At 39.1% G+C, this 19,263-nt stretch overlaps 1 protein-coding gene across 17 annotated transcripts in view; it reads left to right on the forward strand.

Moving 5' to 3' along the window:
• The window catches only part of ABCA13 (ATP binding cassette subfamily A member 13), a 476,040-nt gene that overhangs the window by 337,239 nt on the left and 119,538 nt on the right, over window positions 1-19,263 (forward strand). For 13 of the 17 annotated variants that reach the window (XR_926914.3, XR_926915.3, XM_011515130.3 and 10 more), the window contains 4 exons: window positions 2,388-2,503; window positions 8,029-8,185; window positions 11,345-11,598; window positions 15,552-15,744. Coding sequence is in view for 14 of the 17 variants with exons in the window: in XM_011515130.3 (XP_011513432.1) it covers window positions 2,388-2,503; window positions 8,029-8,185; window positions 11,345-11,598; window positions 15,552-15,744 (720 nt within the window). In the remaining 3 variants the exon portion in view is untranslated. Of the gene's footprint in view, window positions 1-2,387; window positions 3,671-8,028; window positions 8,186-11,344; window positions 11,599-15,551; window positions 15,745-19,263 lie in introns of those variants that run through there. The other 4 variants (XM_011515137.4, XR_926919.3, XM_047419922.1 and 1 more) reach the window with 4 other exon arrangements.

Here is a 19,263-nt window from a genome sequence, read left to right on the forward strand (position 1 = left end):
TCATACATATGATTCATCTTGTGATACAGAAAATCATACATAAGTCAGTGGAAGGCCGGAGGTCAACCATTTACTGAGCACCTTCCATGCACTAGGTGCTGTCTGAGCTGTGCTACACCAGGCACAAATTTCCGCATATTAACATGTTGCTTTCCTGTAAGGTTTATTTCTTTGAGCTGGCTTAGAATTTAGCTAATTTATTTTCTTTTGATCATGTAACTTGGATTTTTGTTTTGTTTTGAAAGTACAATTTATCGGGGTCACACCTAAGTTACCTAACATTTCAGGAGTTCATTTAATTTAATCAGAGGTTTCCCTGAACCTGCCTGGTGATAGATATCACCTGGGACATTTGGTAACAATAAGGATTCCCAAGGGCCTATCCTTCGAGATTCTATTCAGTAGGACTGGGGGGACTTGGAGGTCTGTGTTTTACTAGGTACTCAAGGTGATTTATGAATCTTAACCAAGATTGACAAATTCTGGGTCTTTAAACCCTTATCTTTACTGAGGGACACTTGAAGGCAGGCAAGTGGAAGTGACTTGTCCAAGATTTTACATCTAGTTGGTACAGAGATGGCTTCTCAGTGCCAGCCTCTGTCTCCTGGTCCAGTTTTGTTCCCTGTGCTACACACTGCTGCTGGCTACTTGTCTCTCTGCCGTCTGTCATTTAACAGTGTCTAAGGGCCACAACTTTCCCAGATAAAAGGGAAGAAGTGTGTGGCAAGAGAGAATCACAACACACAGGGGGCCACGTTTCTAGGACACCATGGGGCTTTCAAAGTCTCCAAAACCCCAGGATCTTCCTTCTTTTCAGCACCCTTAGTTTATTATCTCTTTATGCCTCCCACTCAGTCTGACTCTTCTTTACTCTGTGATGTTTGATCTTGGTGATTAAGGACAGGAAGGGTTTCTTGCTTCTTGCTTGGATGGTTTTCCATCTTCATCCAATCATTCTCTGCTTATTCTATTCAATCACTAATTTAATAAATATTTTTGAGGATCTGTTGTGGGTCAAGGTGGGTCCAAGGTTGCTATAGACTAAATGATTATGTCCCCCCAAAATTCATGTTGACACCTAATCCCCAGTGTGATGGTATTTGGATGTGGGATCTTGGAGAGATAATTAGGTTCTGAGAATGGAGCCCTCCTGAATGGGATTAATGGCCTTGTAAAAGAGGCCGCAGAGAGCTCTATGTGAGGACACAGTGAGAAGTCACAGCCTGAACGAGGAAGCTGGCCCTCGCCAGTCACCGAATCTGCCAGCACCTTGATTCTGGTCTTTCCAGCCTCCAGAACTGTGAGCAATAAAGTTGTGTGGTTTATAAGATACTTGGTCTGTGTTATTCTGTCATAGCCCCCCAAATGGTGTTGGGCATAAAGCCATGCATAAAGCAGAGAAGATTGCTCCCTCAAAGAGATTCTTATGAGAGGAAGCAGAAAAACTAGTAAACAAACAAATAAATAAATGCGCAGGATACAGTTGGCCATGACTGGGTCTGTTGAAAGAATGAAAGAGATTGATGGGATGGAGGATGACTTCAAATGTGAAGGTCAAAGAAGACAGTGAAACTTTACCTGAGATCTGTGAGGTAAGAAGGGGCCCTGCCCATGGATGACGTGCAGGAAGAGGTCTGCAGCTTGAGGCTCTAAGAGAAGAAGGAACCAGGCGTGTGAGAGCCTGAAGGAAAGCCATGGCTATTGTTGGCCTGCAGGGAGCACCTTAAGGTGAGGCTGGATAGGGAGGTAGTGTGAGGAGCCTGTCCTTGGTTCTACGTGTGTGGGAGGAGGCTGTGTTTCATGAAAGCTGATTGGATTCCTTGACCCTCCTCAAAGGAGATGGATATGCATGACAGTAGTAGTCACCTCAGGCCACCATAACAAAATACCACAGGCTGGGTAGCTTCACCCCGGAAACTTGATTCTCTCATTGTCCTGGAGGCTGGAAGTCTGAGATCAAGGTGTTGGCAGGGTTGATTCCTTCTGAGGCTTCTCTCCTTGGCTTGTGGACAGCCATCCTCTCCCTGTGTCCTCACATGTCAGCCCTCTGAGAGTGACTGCATCCTGATCTCCTCTAGAGACACCAGTCATGTTGGATGAGGGCTCACCCAATTGACTTCATTTTACCTTAATCACTTGTTCAAAGTCCTGTCTTCAAATACAGTCACATCTTGAAATACTGGGGGTTCAATGTATAAATTGTGGGGGGGTACAACTCAGATTAAAACAAGCGACTTTCCAGGACTAATTCCACGGCTACAGAACTCCTAATGTGCAAAATAGGAAATATATTTGTGAAGTTGAAAGGAAACTTCAGGATAAGTAGATGATAATAAATATGACCATCTGATGTAACAGCTCTCCCTTATTTCTTTTTATCTTCTCAGCTCTTTTACTTGGTTTCCGTCTGCCTGTGTGTTGCCGTTATTGTCGCCTTCCAGTTAACAGCTTTTACTTTCCGCAAGAACTTGGCAGCCACGGCCCTCCTGCTGTCACTTTTCGGGTATGTGATGAGAAACGCTGCTGCAGAATTACGGTTTGTTTTCTGAAAGAGAAAACCCTCAGGATGGCTTTGAACCTGCTGTCGACTTCATGATTTCCTCTCTTTTGAAGCAATTATGTTGCTTCTGCAAGGGACACGGAGCAAACAAGCCTGAGCAGGATGATGAATGCCCCGTGGAGGAAGGAAGGGCTGACCTGGTCGTGATGAAGACAGCACTGCCCTGTCTCAGACAGGCCCTTGAGCTGTTTGACAAACTTGTGCAGCTGGAAATGGATTCTCTATTATTCTCACTTTGACATTAATCAGGGGCTCAAATACATAATCCAATTAACTCGGAGATTGCATTTGTGGAGGTTCTCTCAGCAAGCTCTCTGGCATTTTTTCTCCTCTCCTCTAATATTAGTAGTTTGAAAATGTTTTGTCTAATTTCTATCACTTTTTTTTCAGATGAAAAAATAGCAAATGGAGAAAAGTCATTTTATGAATTTCTGATTTATGCATGCTAGTCAGGATCATTGCTAGTGGCCTCAAAATTATATCTATCCGGTATCAGGATATATATGTCTTCTTATTTGTCATGCACGTATGCTTATATACAGGCTAACTACATAAGAGATGCTTAGTAGGGAAAATCATTATCATACTAATTTATTATACTTCAAGGCTATTTTAAAAGATAAAACAGCTTGCTCTTATTTAAGAGGATTACAAATGAAGTGATTTTTACAGTTTGTATTTATATAAGTGCCCTAGAATTATTCAAAACATCTAATTAGAGACAGAGTTTTACTTAAACAAATATATACCATTACTAGATGATTGTATAGGTGGGTGGGTGGATGGATGGAAGTATGTAGATAAGAGAAAGAAAGATAGACAGGGAGAGAGAGATTAACAGAGAGAGGGAAAGAGACACTAAGAGAGAGAGGGAGAGAGAGATTAAGAGAGAGAGAGAAACAAGACAGACAGACAAACTTTTGGGGGAACATTGATATTACTACTCACTAACCCCAATGCTGTAGCTTTGGTAATACTAATTATTCTGTCTAATCCTCAGTTTTTTCTTTGTAAAACTTCATGTCTTTTGCTATAAAGATTAAATAGTTTATATGAATATCATGGACAATGACTGGTACAAAATTCCCATTAAATTAATTTTAGCCATTATTGTTACTCTTTAGAATTATTTTACTCTTTAGAAGATGTAATATCCTGAGCTATAAAACATGCTTATAGTAGACATATATTTATTATATTTAGCTAGAAATTTATGGACTTGTGTATAAAGATCTATGTGTGTGTACCCAGCTCTAAGAACACAGTTTGATTTCAGTTTATTGATCCAATTGAATGGATAGTGTTGTCATGTCTCCCTCTATTTCAAGTAAAATAGACTTTGCTATAAAATTATTTTTGAATTTTAGGAGAGTATATCTCAAAAACTGAGTTAAAACTTAGATGAAATGGTTAGAAAGCCTTGAAAACACGCTTTTAGAAATTTTTATTAGTTGTTTTGATTGTGAAACCCTTTAAGAATTTGAATTAAACTAAGAATTCTCTTCATACATAACTACCACATTTTTCAAAGAATTTCTGGAGATTCACAGGTCTGTTGAAGCACAATCATAGGCAATAGGGGTTACACGCTTCTGGTTAAGAACTCTTAGGTTGCAGAGACTGGAAAGATGTCAGAGATAACTCAGACCGTGTTTGTAATCATGGCTAATCCCAGGGAAGAAGAGCCCCCAAGGAAAGTTTATCAGGGTCACTGGGTGACATCCATGGGAATGCAGATTTAGAAGGTAGCTCTTTCTTCATTGGAGCACAGCCAGTGGAACTGGTGACAACCTCCCCCGCCACTGTAACAGGAGGGGCAGTGAGAGACCCGGTCTGGGGAACTGCTGTCTCCTGTGTGCCTGGCAATCTCTGGGTGAGGATAGCAGAATTGGCTCATGCCTGCTGTCCTTCTAAGGACCTATGGGTACACGGAGCCCAAGGGCAAACTCAGGAAAGCTGAATCCCGAGCTGAAACCTAAGAGCACGTCCAGGCATTAAATGGCTGCTTAAAGGCAGGAATCTGAAGGAATAAGGGATAGTATACACGAATTGATTCTTTTAAGAGATAACAAGATAAACATGCCTAATCGCAGTCTTATTGTTTTTCTTCTTTCTATCAAGGACAATTTGTTATTTAAACTATAAAAGGGAGAGTCAGGGAGAATTAGCATCCAAAAGAGGGAAGTAACACCTAAAATGAATGAAAGAAAACAGAGCCTAACTTACATAAAGATGGAAACCTTAAGAACATATTTGATGTATATTTACCGCTAAAAGATGAGATTGCAGAATCCTGCTTGGTGTCTTGGGAAATCCACAAAGCATGGGGAAGCGGCCGATTTTCAAAAGGGGAATTTTCTTCCGCCATAAATTCCATGATGTTGTGAACAGTAGGCCAGTCTCTAGCAAATTTTAAAATCATTAAAATGATATTATATTTTAATAAAAGCCTGGAGATTGTTGAAATTCATTGTAATTTTCACAAAAAAATAAATATAAGCCAATTTCATTTTTTTCTTATAAAATAGGAGACGGGAGCTGCTAATACGTTAATTTGAGCCAAGTATTTTAAAGATAACTAATGAAAATGTAGTAAAAAAAGTGATGGAATCATAGCCCGTTGAAAACCACACTGGAATACTCTTCATTCATCTAGCAATAGGAACTCTCATGTGGCTTCATTTAGGACAATGTCTCTGATTCTTTGTTTTTCTTAAATAATGCTTTGATCCACTTGTCAAATATTTAAATGACATAACCCAACATGGAAACCTTATGTAATAAGTAACTAGATACAGATCCTGAACCATCTCAAAGGAAGTAGAGCCTAATGTTGAGGTGGTAATTAGTCACTCAAGTGCAGATCAGGTATGCAGACTCCACAGCAAGACCGGGAGGCTGCTGTACCCTTAGATTGTATTGCTGGATGTGGAGATGCTGATCAAAGCAGATGATAATCTTGCTGTGTGTTGTGCCAGGCCAACCACATCATGTTCTCTGTGAGGTAGCTTTACCTAAACTCCCCTAAGTCCCACAATGCAAAATTTAACAGAGAGAGCTGGTTGAATATCGTGTTGTTAAAGGAGCAGAGAAAGACCCAGTCTTTTGTAGTGGAGGTTTAAGCAGAATAACATGGCTATCCTCAGCTATTTAAAGGACTGTCACATGGAAAAGAAAAGCAATTTGTCACGTGCTGTTCCAGAATATAGAGTTTGAATCAGTAGCTATAAGTTGGAGAGAGTTTTCATTCACTCTTAGAATGAATTTTATAGCAATTACAGCTGCCCCAAAATTTGGCTCACAAACTTCTACTACTGCTTATATTTCTGTTGCAAAAATACTTGCAATTCTGTGATTTCATTTGATTCTCAAAACAGTTGCGTGAAGGAGTGTAGCACTTGATTTTTGTCTCAGAAGGCACAGTAAAGGAAAGAGGGTAGGTGTGTGGTGTGGGTGAATATGTGTTGGGGTTTGAATTCTCTCTGTGGTAGTTTATTTCAGACAGAGATGTTGATAATGTACAGCCCTAAGAAGTCATGACTTATCTCTCTGGTAATTATTTTGATTTAATTAGTTGATTGTCTTATGTAGCAACTGTTTTAGAACAGCTCTTGCCTCCATTGTGTGCTTTGAAATAATTAATGCCCACATTTTGAGGCAGATTGCTATTGAGTAGAGTGTCTAAAACACTATATGATTTTATATATCATATTATATATATCTTATGAACTATGAGAATGTATCTTTTAACCCAGGAAAGCATTCCAACATCATGGATGTCATATGAAAGGGGGTGCATACTAGACTAAGAGTTAACTTGAGGGCCTGGCATCTCTTATATCATTTTGAAGTCTCATACTTTTCAGAACTTGTTAACATATTAGGAAAACCTCAGACATTTTGCAGGCACTGAAGTGTTTCAGGTTAATCCAATTATTCACCATAAGAAAACAGTGATACATTTACCTTGAGTGAGCAGAGAACTTGTTGGAGCTCCGGATATATGAGAATCTTTTGGGAAAGTTGTGATTCAAAATCAGTGACTTCTCTGCTGATATTAGGAACCATCGTTCAAAGTGTACTTCCTTTATTGGGTGCAGTGGTATTATTTCAGGAAGGAGATGAGGGAAGTTGCCATGAGTGAAACCTGGCTCTAGAATTGAGGAGACGGAATGAAGAAAATGAGATGTTTTCCTTTTAGGGACATTTGGGTGGTATCTTAGATCCTGATGTCATCTGACACATGTGGGGACTGCTTCTAGGGTTCAATGTTTAGCAATGCTTCTTACTCCCCAGCTTTGGGGCCACATGGAAATGAATCCCATGTTCATCTACTTATCACCTGCAAAGCTCGATCAAGTGTCTGAACTCTGCAAATCCCCATTGTTCTGCCTGTAAGATGACAGTTACAGTGCTGTCTCCTGGCTTGCTGGGGACTAAAGGAAGATTAGGGCACACTGAGGAGTTACAGATGGTACCCCCTGTGCAGTGGATGCTGGAAGGAGGCTTTCAGTTTTTATTTTTAGGCCTTATTTTTTTTACGTAGCTCTGCAGCTTTTTATATTCTTGATATCTTTTGATTCTCAATATAATGAATAAGTATTATTCCTGCCTTCCTGATGAGAAGCAGAGCAGAGAAGCTCCTTTTGGAGAAGAGAGGTTGGAGAAGTCAGCCGACTTTCTCCAGGCCACAGAGCCGACAAGTTCAGGCCCACGTACAACCCGTGTGTGTGTTGTGACCCCATCCGGTGTTCTTTATTGCATTGCAGAGTCCTCTGAAGCCCCAGGAAGAGTGTGTTGTCTTTGAAAAATACCGTGGAATGTATTATGTAAAGTTCATTTCTGTTCACCAAGTGAGGAAAAATTGCTGGGCCAATAAAATTGCATCTATAATTCAGTCTTACGGCTGTCCCCTTATCTGCATTTTTGCTTTCAGAGAATTCGGTTACCCACAGTCAACTGTGGTCTCAAGATATTAAATGGAAAATTCCAGAAATAAACAATTCATCAGTTTTAAAGGGCACAGTGTTCTGAGTAGCAGGATGAAATCTTGTACTGTCTTGCTCTATCCCATCAGAGACGTGAATTTCCCCTTTGTCCTGCATATCCTCACTTTGGACCTGGGAGTCAGTGAGTTACCAAATTGACTGTCGCAGCATGGCAGTGCTTGTGTTCAAGGGACCTTTGTTTTACTAGATGGCCCCAAAGTGCTAGAGTAGGCACGCTGGCATATTGCTGTAATTGTTCTATTTTATACTACTCATTGTTCTTAATCTCTCACTGTGCCTAATTTATAAATCAAACCTTATCATAGGTTGTATGTATGGGGAAAAACATAGTATATGTAGGATTCAGTAATATCTGCATTTTCAGGGATTCACCCCAAGGTCTTAGAATGTATCTGCCATAGATAAAACTACTGTAAATGTTACAGTAAAACAAACATTACTTTTCACTTTACTTTTCAGATATGCAACTCTTCCATGGATGTACCTGATGTCCAGAATCTTTTCCAGTTCGGACGTGGCTTTCATTTCCTATGTCTCACTAAACTTCATCTTTGGCCTTTGTACCATGCTCATAACCATTATGCCCCGGTTGCTAGCCATCATCTCCAAAGCTAAGGTCAGTAGCTTTGTAGCATCACCTCTACACTTCTGCACCTCTAGTGCAAAGACGGTGTTAACTCATGCCTCTTTTGTTGCTTTTCTGACTGGAATTCAATGGAAATGCATTGGTATCCACTGTCTTTAAACTCCAGAGAGATAAATGGATTCTAATTAACAAAAAACACATTGCCGTTATAAAAGCCATGCCTAGGCTTAGCAACAATTGACGAAAAAATGTTCTGTTTCGGCCACTCCATTCTTGAGGGTAGAGCCATGAAGATGTTCACTGCCGCATCCCTAGCATTTTCATCAGAGACTATTTATTGATGAATTACTGATGAATGGTGGAAGAGTGAGTCATTGAAACATGCCCTCTCAATGTTCACCATCGTTTGGGTCAGACACTACAAGATAGAATGGGCCACACAACACAGCTGACCATGCTCTCGGGGCACAGCATGTCTGAATGATGATCTGGCGGGATTCTACCCTCTTCTCTGGGATTTCTGGAACAAATTTAATTTTGCTGTTTTCCAAGCATGGCAGCCAAGGGCTTTCCTGAGCCTGAGGCCCGTGGTCAGGAAGAACTTCTCCTTGTGAGGTCAACGCCACTCTCCAATAGGCCGTTCTGATTAGCAAGTCATTTCTTAAATGTCATCTCCAGCTGGTGTCTAGGTCAAGGTGAACCCATTAGTCCTGCCACATTCCTTTCACTCCTGTCTCCTCCCTTAGTGAGGCCTGCCTGGGTGTTTGCCTCTGCTTTAATACATCTTTCAGCCCCTCAGCATCCCCAGTGCTACCTGGAGATACAGACTTCAGATTTTGCACTTTCCTCTGCACCCTTATTGCAATCCTTTTCATTCTGTTTTCTTTTCTCAGCTCTGACCACACTATTCTCTCCTGATTCCCTGCTGCTTATATGGAGTCTGATTCCTCAGTAGTTCCCAAATGTTTGGCCAGCTCAGGGGCTGAGAAATGACCTGGAAAAGGTACTGAGCTCCTAGTTTTGAAGCATGTGCTGCAGTTCTCATTTCAAATCAAACAGGGACTGATGCCTATTTAATTGGGATGAGTCTACTTCCTCATGGCTGGACTTTCAGAGACTTAGTAAATTTGCCACTGATAGCTAACATTAGTTTTTATTACTGTGCTTCATATTTGGATAGAAGCAGTGAACTCTGTAAACATCTATTATGCATTCAGTGATGGTAATAATCTATTTTGGTGATTTTTACAGATTTATTATTGACACTGATTTATATTAATATGTCTACACTTTAAAGAGAAAACTTGCAGAACCATTGATTGGCTTTAGCTTGAGGAGAAAATTGAAATCAGTAGAGATAGTGTACAATTTCCCTCCTCCCTCATCGGATCTCTAGCATGACATGAACCATCAGGATGTCAGTCATGAATCATGGTGAAACTGAAAAGAGACTCACAGTAGATAATCCTATTGGTGAGGAACTTGAAAGCAGAGAGCTTCCCTGGGGAGTGGAGTCACAGAAGTGAGATTTAGCTCCAAAAGAAAAACGAAGAAGAATTGTCCATATCCAAAGAGGAAGCTGACCAGGAACCTTTCCACTCATGAGGTTTTACCAGTGTGGCAAGTGGAAAGCCTTGTTACCTTTAATTATAAACAGCATTGCTTACTTGTTAAAAAAAAAATCAACAGGCAATGAAGTGTTTGCCAGAAAATGGATCTAAATCAATTGGTAACAAGTAATTAAAAGCAGCTTATTGCTTTTGTTTGGGTCTTTCTTTTCCTTTGCTCTTTATTTTGATATTATTTGCTTAGGAAGCAACCTTATTCAAATGTTTATTTCAAATAATTTCAAATTTTCATTTGTAGGTTATGGAGCTTTGTAGCATTAATTCTTATAGAATTAATGAAAGAAACCAAAAAAGGTGACTGGATTCTCAGATCACTCTTTTTCTTAAAAAATAAAAATATTTTAAGTTCTGGGGTACATGTGCAGGATATGCAGGTTTGTTCCATAGATAAATGTGTGCCATGGTGGTTTGCTGCACCTCTCAACCCATCACCTAGGTATTAAGCCCAGCATGCATTAGCTATTTTTCGTAATGCTCTCCCTCCCCCACCCCATCCCCCAACAGGCCCCAGTGTGTGTTGTTCCTGTCCTTGTGTTCATGCGTTCTCATTGCTCAGCTCCCACTTATAAGTGGGAATATGCAGTGTTTGGTTTTCTGTTCCTACATTAGTTTTCTGAGGATAATGGCTTTCTTGCTCCATCCATGTCCCTGCAAAGGACATGATCTCCTTCCTTTTTATGGCTGCATTGTATTCTATGGTGTATCCATCTATCCAGTCTATCATTGATGGGCATTTGGGTTGATTCCACGTCTTTGCTATTGTGAATAGTGCTGCAGTGAACATATGTGTGCACATATCTTTGGAATAGAATGATTTATATTCCTTTGGGTTTATACCCAGTAATGAGATTGCTGGGTCAAATCGTATTTCTGGTTCTAGATCTTTGAGGAATTGCCACACCATCTTCCACAGTGGTGAACAATAAGTCTGAATATCTAGTGTAACCAGTATTAACCATTGTGTTTACAAATTATAGTGTTAATTAATCATTTTCATTGTTACCAAATCACAGTTTATATGATGACACATTTTGATTTCAAACACAAGATCTGGAACATCTGTCTTTCCCACTGGTGAGGCTCCCTGTTGGAGCGAGGGGGATGTGGGGGAGCAAAAACTCATGTTTTCTAATTTATTTCTTTGTATAATTATCATTTTCACATAATCCTAAATCGAACACTTATGGATTGTTATTCTGTGAGTTTGTGCACCTGCATCCCCCTTCTATGTATGGATTATTTGTTAACTCAGTGTTCATATATTGCTAACACCTTTGTTCATACTTGTGTAGAGATCATTGTGATTTCCTTAAAAGTAGATGTAAAAATCATCACTGTTCTCAAGCAAGAAAACCTTGAAAGGCAAATACCAGTAGATCTAATTAATATCTCTAAACAAAATACCTTTGTTTTGATGGCTGTCTGAGAATATCAGTGAATAGTTGGGATAGGGAAGACCTGGAACACAGAGCTAACCAAGGAGAAAAAGAAGTTATTGGTATATATTATGAAAAGGGGAATAGCTTTTAATTGGATTTTTTTTCTTTTTTTCACTGTGCAGAATTTACAGAATATCTATGATGTCCTCAAGTGGGTCTTTACTATTTTTCCTCAATTCTGTCTTGGTCAAGGACTGGTAGAACTCTGCTATAATCAGATCAAATATGACCTGACCCACAACTTCGGCATTGATTCCTATGTGAGTCCCTTTGAGATGAACTTTCTGGGCTGGATCTTCGTGCAACTGGCCTCGCAGGGCACAGTACTTCTCCTCTTGAGGGTTCTGCTACACTGGGACCTTCTGCGATGGCCAAGGTGGGTTCTGAAGGACTCATCCTCGAGCTGCACTTACTCCTGCAAAATGAGAGGAAGAGAAAAATTCATCCTGGAGGTTGTAAAATAAAAATTATATCTGATCAGCATTATACATAGTTCTAATGCGTTAAGATTTTATTATTTTTTAAACATTGATTGGTGTCAGTCACCCACACCAGGAAGGAAAATTTCAAAGGATAAGGTGACAAACTGTGAGATGATCTTTCCAATTATTTGTCTCAGCATATTTTCTTTTTTTAAAATTTTTTTTATTGTACTTTAAGTTCTATGGTACATGTGCACAATGTGCAGGTTTGTTACATATGTATACATGAGCCATGTTGGTGTGCTGCACCCATTAACTCATCGTTTACATTAGATATATCTCTGAATGCTATCCCTCCCCTCTCCAACCACCCCACAACAGGCCCCGGTGTGTGATGTTCCCCTTCCTGTGTCCAAGTGTTCTCATTGTTCAATTCCAACCTATGAGTGAGAACATATTTTCACTTTGAAATTGCTGAATTTCTCTGTTACTTTGAAGCAGCTAAGGTAAATTTGGTTAATACCATAACATTATTTTTACAACTAAATGCCAAGAACTCTGGGAGCAGGAAGATAGGAAAATTCAGTACAGATGTCTGTGTGTCCTTTGCTGGATCTTGTTGCTTATGCTGCTGTACTCTGATCTTTGTCAGGTGAGGTCGAAAGTCAGTAGCATGGGGCATGTGTAGACATGTAGATATATAATGTGGTTTATACACATGCATGCACACACATGCATTCCTACTACTATAAATAGGATTTAATGTGGCCTTGAAAGGATATCTGAAATATTGTCAGATAAAACATTTGAACTGCATAAGGAAGCAATGTGCTTTCCTGTGTAGGGTCCACAATGGTTGGCTTCCCCCCCATACCCAAGTGGCCTGAATTCATTGGCCTGCTCTTTCCAAGGGCTATGTATTTCCGTCTGACCTCTACTTGAGGGAGGGATCCTTTTTGGAGAAATTACCAATTAAGACCATGTCACTAGAAAATCTATTAAGGATTATAAAGACACATGATTAATAATTTATGGTGATCTCTTCATAGAATTATTTTTCCTTTCAGCCATTTCCTGACATATTTTGTTACATAACCCCTTTTAATAAAGTAAAATAGACACCGTTTTGAGTATAAATCCCAATGTGCTTTTGAATTGGCCACATCACCCTGGAGTCTGCAGATTTCCAATAGCTGACTGAACCTGGAGTAAAATGCAGAGTGCCCTTTAAACATAATTTGTTCTCTGATGTCCCTTACTAGTTTAGTCTATTTTATAAAACTGTAATGTAGGATCCCCCTTGGCAGATTTCAGGGTACTCCATTTTCCTATAGTATCAAAAGATTTTTCTTTAAAGAGAAAAATCTGTATTACCTTTACTTTCTAGAGTTGTAAGTATAAGTTGAATTGTATTTTAGAATAATATCCTTGTTACCCACAGTAAAGAGTCAATTTTTTTCTCTACATGAAGGTTACAGAGCATAGAAATTTAAGTGAATTTAGACACTAGTTGCCTACTACCATTTTATGGATAACTGTCATAATGACTGCATGACCCAGTCAATTTACTTTTAAGACCCAGATCTAACTAAGCCACTAATCATTGTTTGAAAGGTAAAGCCCAAGGTTCTTAGCAAGCCCCCCTGAAGTGTGGTGCCTTCTGCTCAGTGAAGGTGTCTGTGATCCTCCTCCCATCCCACAGGGATATTTGTTGCCCTGCCTCTGGGGCTGGGCTGATGCCTTCTCCGTGTTTCTGTTACGCCCTCTTTCTCTATTAGGGCACATCTATGTTGGTTTATGGTATCGATATGCTACTCATAATTGAATCTTGCAAGAAAATAGGGAGACCCTGCCCTGTGCAACTGGGAATGGATAGATCCTGCCTTCCCAGCCTGAGCAGGGCCCCTGTCACCTGCACCCACTGCTGGACATGAGTGCTGAGATCCCACTTCCTTGCTGTCCTTCCCTAACCTGCGCTGACTCCTGTCCAGCTGTCCCACTGTCCTGCTGCTGGCCTTGGGTTGTTTGCCATGAATTCAGGTTTCCATTAGGACCTGAGCCCTAGTTCCTGCCTATTTTGTCTCCTGCCTAGAGCTGCACTTTTGCTGTCTGTACCCTAGGTGCTGGCTGGGTTGGAACAGCCACACTGTTCAGATATGAGATATGCTGCATATCTGGAAAGTTCTGCTATACCTAGGTCCCATCTGAATTCTTCCTATTTAATACAGGGATCGTTTGTTAGTCATTTTCAGTTAGAGGATAACTAAGTGGCACATTTCTGGGCATAGTTGGATTCCTGTATTAGGACACTGGATTGTTGTGAGTGGGTGGACCAGAAGTAAGCTCAGTCAATTGTCTCCACCAACCAGAATTACTTGAAGAGATTTAAATGAATGTGCACACCTGGGCCCCTCCCTAGAACTCTGCAATGAGAAGCTCTGGGGATGAGACCCAGGAGCTGTTCATAAAGCTTCCCAGGTAATCCTCCTGAGGAGAGAATGAGCAAGCTGATGTGGGTTACTGTGAATACTACTCTGCCAGGCAGGAGGGAATACAGTGGCACAACTTCCTGTTGGAGTGGGAAGACTTCCAAAAGTCCAGGATAGGGTGAAAGGTCAATAAACACACCTTCATCTGGGAGAGGGAAATAACATTCAAACAGAAAAGTGTAAAATTCAATGAATTTTCACAAATTGAACACATTGATGTAGCCCCCTCTCACTAATAAACTGAATACTGCCAACACTTCAGATGGCCTCTCATAAACTTCTCCATCAATAGCTGCACCCTAGGTAACTGCAATCCTTATTTTTATTTTTATTGATTCATTTTTCTTGCCTTTGAACGTTATATAAATGAGGTCATGTAAGATAGAATTCTGAGTATCTAGCTATATTTTTCTCATCGTCTATGTTCTCTGTAGAATAAATTATATATTGTCAAATGGTGATTTTATATGTGGAAAAATAATAAAGAAAAGTTGCTGGGGATACTGGGAGCTTGCCATGGATATTGGATTTTATTTTTAATACCTTTTTTATTTTGAAATAGTTTAATAATCAGAAGAAGTTGTAAAATTATTATCGAACATTGCTATGTACCTTACACCCAGCTTCTCCCAATGATAATATAATAATATATTACATGGCAATTTACACTGTCAAAGCCAGGTAATTGATGTTGGTTATGATACTAACTCAGTCGTTATCATTAAAATATAATCATTAAATATATTTTAAATGATTAAATATAATAATTAAAATGTTGGCATATTATAGTTTATAGGGGAAATTGAAATTTATTGGAAAGTTAAATGTGTCAGATTGCAAATTAGAAAGAAGATTAAAAAGTGAGCAGCTCAGATTTAGAGAAAATAAGAGTTGAAAATTAAATTTGCATTCCTCTGATAGATACTTACTGAATACTTTTTGCAAAGTATTGTGCAAAGTGCTGGTTATATAATCCTTTTATGCGATTCAACATATACTATAAACTTACAATGTTTCAGTACTTTTATATACAATCTACATTATTAAATGACTTGTTTAGTAAAAAGCACTTAATAAGTAAATGCCTTATAATAATTTTGTGATAAGCTATTTTAACATTTAGTACAATTAATCTGGCATGATCTTATTCATAAAATTAAAAACTAGCTCTAGTTTAGTGCCAATTCATTTCAGTATCTTTTAGGAATGTATATATTTCATTTATGTTAGACAATAAAAAATGGATTCTTGCCTGATAATCAGGATGGCAGAACTGGGGTGCTCTGGACAAAGCTGACTGCCCAGAAGTCCGAAGGTGATATCTTCAATTTTTTACAAATCTCTGACCTTTTTGCCTCTTCTAGACTATTCTGGTATCATTTGCTAGGTGTGAATTCACTCTGATTTCATCTTCCCAGGGGTCATTCTACTCTCCAAGGCACAGTCAAATCTTCTAAGGATACAGATGTTGAAAAAGAGGAAAAGAGAGTGTTTGAAGGAAGGACCAATGGAGACATTCTTGTGTTATACAACCTTAGTAAACATTATCGACGCTTTTTCCAGAATATTATTGCTGTGCAAGATATTAGTTTGGGCATACCAAAAGGAGAGGTAATGAAGCTTCTATTTTTAATCTTCTTCTGTTGTGAACCTGTACAACTCTAGTAGCTGATCTGCTTGTGTTAGTCTCAGAATATTTGAAATCAGAGCCAAAAATAGCCTTCAAATTTTAGAAATTCCTACAAAATCAGTAGGAGCAGAACCAAATAGAGGGTCTGTTGACTATTTCATAGTAAAAACTTGGCTGATTGATAGGATTTATTTTGTTTTATAATGTTAAAAATTTCATGTGATTGCATAGTTTTAATTATGACTTGGGCTATGGGATAACTTTTTGTTGAGCAAATATTTTTTTGAATCTAATTAAGGAACCACTTTTATCTCTTACTGGGACATCAGTACTCTAAGTGTCCAATTAAGCCCATCTGGCAAAATGCTACTCAGAAAAGGTAAAGAACACTCATCCACCTAGCAATAGCTCAGGAATTTTTGTTCACAGGTAAGACATTAATTCTAGTTATAATGTTTAATCAGAACTGACAGAAGCCATATAAATTGTTCCTGATTTATGCTTAATGTGTAAAGGGAAATCAGTTCTGGAAGTGATTGCCTTCAATTAACTGTTAAAAATAAAAGAGCACCTTGCATTCATACGGTTCCCAGCTCCTGAGAAATTCAAAATAGGTTATATTGTTATCTGATTGGTATCTATATTCTACTTGTGATCTGACAGTAGGTGTCTCAGATATGTGTATTCTGAGGTAAAGAGAAGCCGAGAGATCAATCTGAAGTAATGCAGGCATATTCTTACTCTCTGAACTATGATTTCTGGTAGATTAGAACAAAATGTTAAGAAAGGATTTTTTTTTTTAGTAGTTGTTAGCTTCTGCTCTAAGACTGGCTATGCAATCTTACCCATCTTATTGAACTATTTTTTGTACCCTTGCTTTAAAAATCATGATTATTATAGTTTTGCCGGTACCTCTCCATAGTAGTTTGAGGCAAAGGGGTGTGGGAGGGCCAAGATTCACTGAAAATCAACTGACAAAAGGCAGAGTAACAGGAAAAAGGCATATGAATTTATTTGATTATAGTTTTACGTGATACGAGAGCCTTCAGAATGAAGACCCAAAGATACAGGGAAACTGTCTGTTTTTATGCTTAGGTTCAACCAAGTACGGACAGCCATGTAGAAATATGGTTGGACAAAAAGAGTATGACCCAATTAATGCTATTAGGCTGAGAGGGGAAGCCCAGCAAGGCCTCTCTGTTTAGATGCGCTTTTTTTTTTTTTTTTTTTTTTTGAGTTATTATCTACATGTTTATGATGTTTTATTTTTATTGTTAAAAATTTTATTTTAAGTTCTGGGATACATTTGCAGAATGTGCAGGTTTGTTACATAGTTGTAAATGTGTGCTGTGGTGGTTTGCTGCACCTCTCAACCCATCACCTAGGTATTAAATCCCACATGCATTAGCTATTTATCCTGATGCTCTCCCTCCCACCATCCCTCTGACAGGCCCCAGTGTGTGTTGTTCCCCTCCCTGTGCCCACGTGTTCTCATTGTTCAGCTCCTACTTATAAGTGAGAATGTGCAGTGTTTGGTTTTCTGTTTCTTCCTTGTGGGTGTGGGGCAGGACCCTCTCTGGAATGCAGGTCTGTCTTATGACCTACAGTCAAACAAGGTAGGACAGATAACTTCTTTAGGGGTAATTTTTGTACTGAAAAATATGTAAAAGGGGAGAAGTTAGGGTAATATTTTTGGTTTTATGGTGGCTTTGGGGAAAAGAGGTTCTAGTTTCTATGACCAGCCTCAGGGGAGAAGGAGGGGCCGGAGACAGCAGGGCAGGAAAAGGTCAGAGTAAAACTTTTGATTCTGAGGCTGCCTTTGGGGCCTTCACTTTGGGGTATTATTTTCTGAGTCCCAACAGGGCTAAGAGATAAACTTGTAAAACATTGACAGAATGATGCTCCAGGTATCTTAAATGGTCCAAGATGCCATTTAAAGTTAGATTTTATTATCTTAAGCTCTTATAAGCATTACAGTTTAATTACCTAGATGGAGAGTGCTATGCAAAAGTCTGTGGAAAATACAGAAATGACTAAGATACAGTCCTGTGTTGTTTAACAATGGGGATATTGTCTGAGAAATGTGTCATTAGGTGATTTCATTATATAATATACTTTCACAAACCTACATGGTATAGCCTACGACACACCTAGGCTGTATGGTAAGCCCATTCCTCCTTGGCTACAAATCTATACAGTATGTGCTGAATACTGTAAGCAATTGTAACACAATTGCAAGTATTTGTGTATCTAAACATAGACAAGGTACAGTTAAAATATGGTATTGTCATCTTGTAAGATGACCATTGTATATGCAGTTCATCATTGCCTGAACTATCATTGACTGTATATCCTTCTCCATCTAGAAATTAATAATCAGTTAGGAAACAAAATATCATAAGCATGTACTATGTTACATGGGAGCATAAGCATTGTCCCAAGGCAGGGACTGTGATATAATAATGTAATATTTTTTGGAAGTCACAGCATCATAATAATTGTTATCCTCCCAATTTCATTTTTGTATATATTAAAGTACTTTCTAAAAAGAACTGAAAGGTGCATGAGTGGTATTGTCTTCAATGCTGTCAGTCCAGAGAGGGTGGCTGTGCAGGCAGGGAAGGAAAGGTGGGAGGACAGGGTATGTGGGGAGAGCTTTATTAAAAATGTGGTTTATAGCTAAGCCTAAAAGCGTTGGTAGAATTTGGATAGGCTGATGGTGGTGTACCCTGGAACATGGACAGGGTAGGCCTGGGGGAGACGGACTCATATTGCAAATGGTGGGAGAGATGCAGGGAAAGCGGGGAAAACATGGTAATTGAAGCAGATGGCAACTCATGGGGTTGTGAAATTCAGAGGTCCAAAATAGGGTGAGGTGATGGTTAGGTGGGGCTTGGTGGCAGAAAATCCAGAAGCAGTCACTTTCCAAGATTTGAGGAGCCAGGAAGCCAGTTTGTATCCATAGATCGCAGCTCCTAGCCATCAGAAAACAGCTGTCTTGGAAGGAGATTGACAGAACCAGAGAGACACTGTCACCAAGGTGGACTCTCAGGCACAGTATATGCTGAGGCACATGATAGAGACAAAGTGTAGAAAAGACAGCAAGAAGGCCATTTTTCACATTGGCTGTAAGGCGAGATTTGATCAAGAACTGAGTTGACTCTATGCTCAATGTCAGAATATAGAACGAGAGTTTCTCTTTTAATTAATATCAAGATTAGCTTAGACTCTGAGTTAGGAGTGAATTTGCAGGAATTTACAGGCTCTTCAATGGAAAAAGAAGATATATAAGAAAGCTGTGAGCACTACACACACACATACACATACACAGACAAACACATATGTATATACAGTAGAAGATGGAATCTTTTAAGAAAATACTTTAAAATACACAAAAATGAAATTAGGAGAATAATAATTATAATGATGTGACTTCCTAAGAATATTATATTATCTCTGCATAATTTGGGGGTAGTTGGCATTTACTTCTCATCCTCTTG

The sequence above is a fragment of the Homo sapiens genome, chromosome 7, assembly GCF_000001405.40.
Source record: "Homo sapiens chromosome 7, GRCh38.p14 Primary Assembly".
NCBI classification, from domain to species: domain Eukaryota; kingdom Metazoa; phylum Chordata; class Mammalia; order Primates; family Hominidae; genus Homo; species Homo sapiens.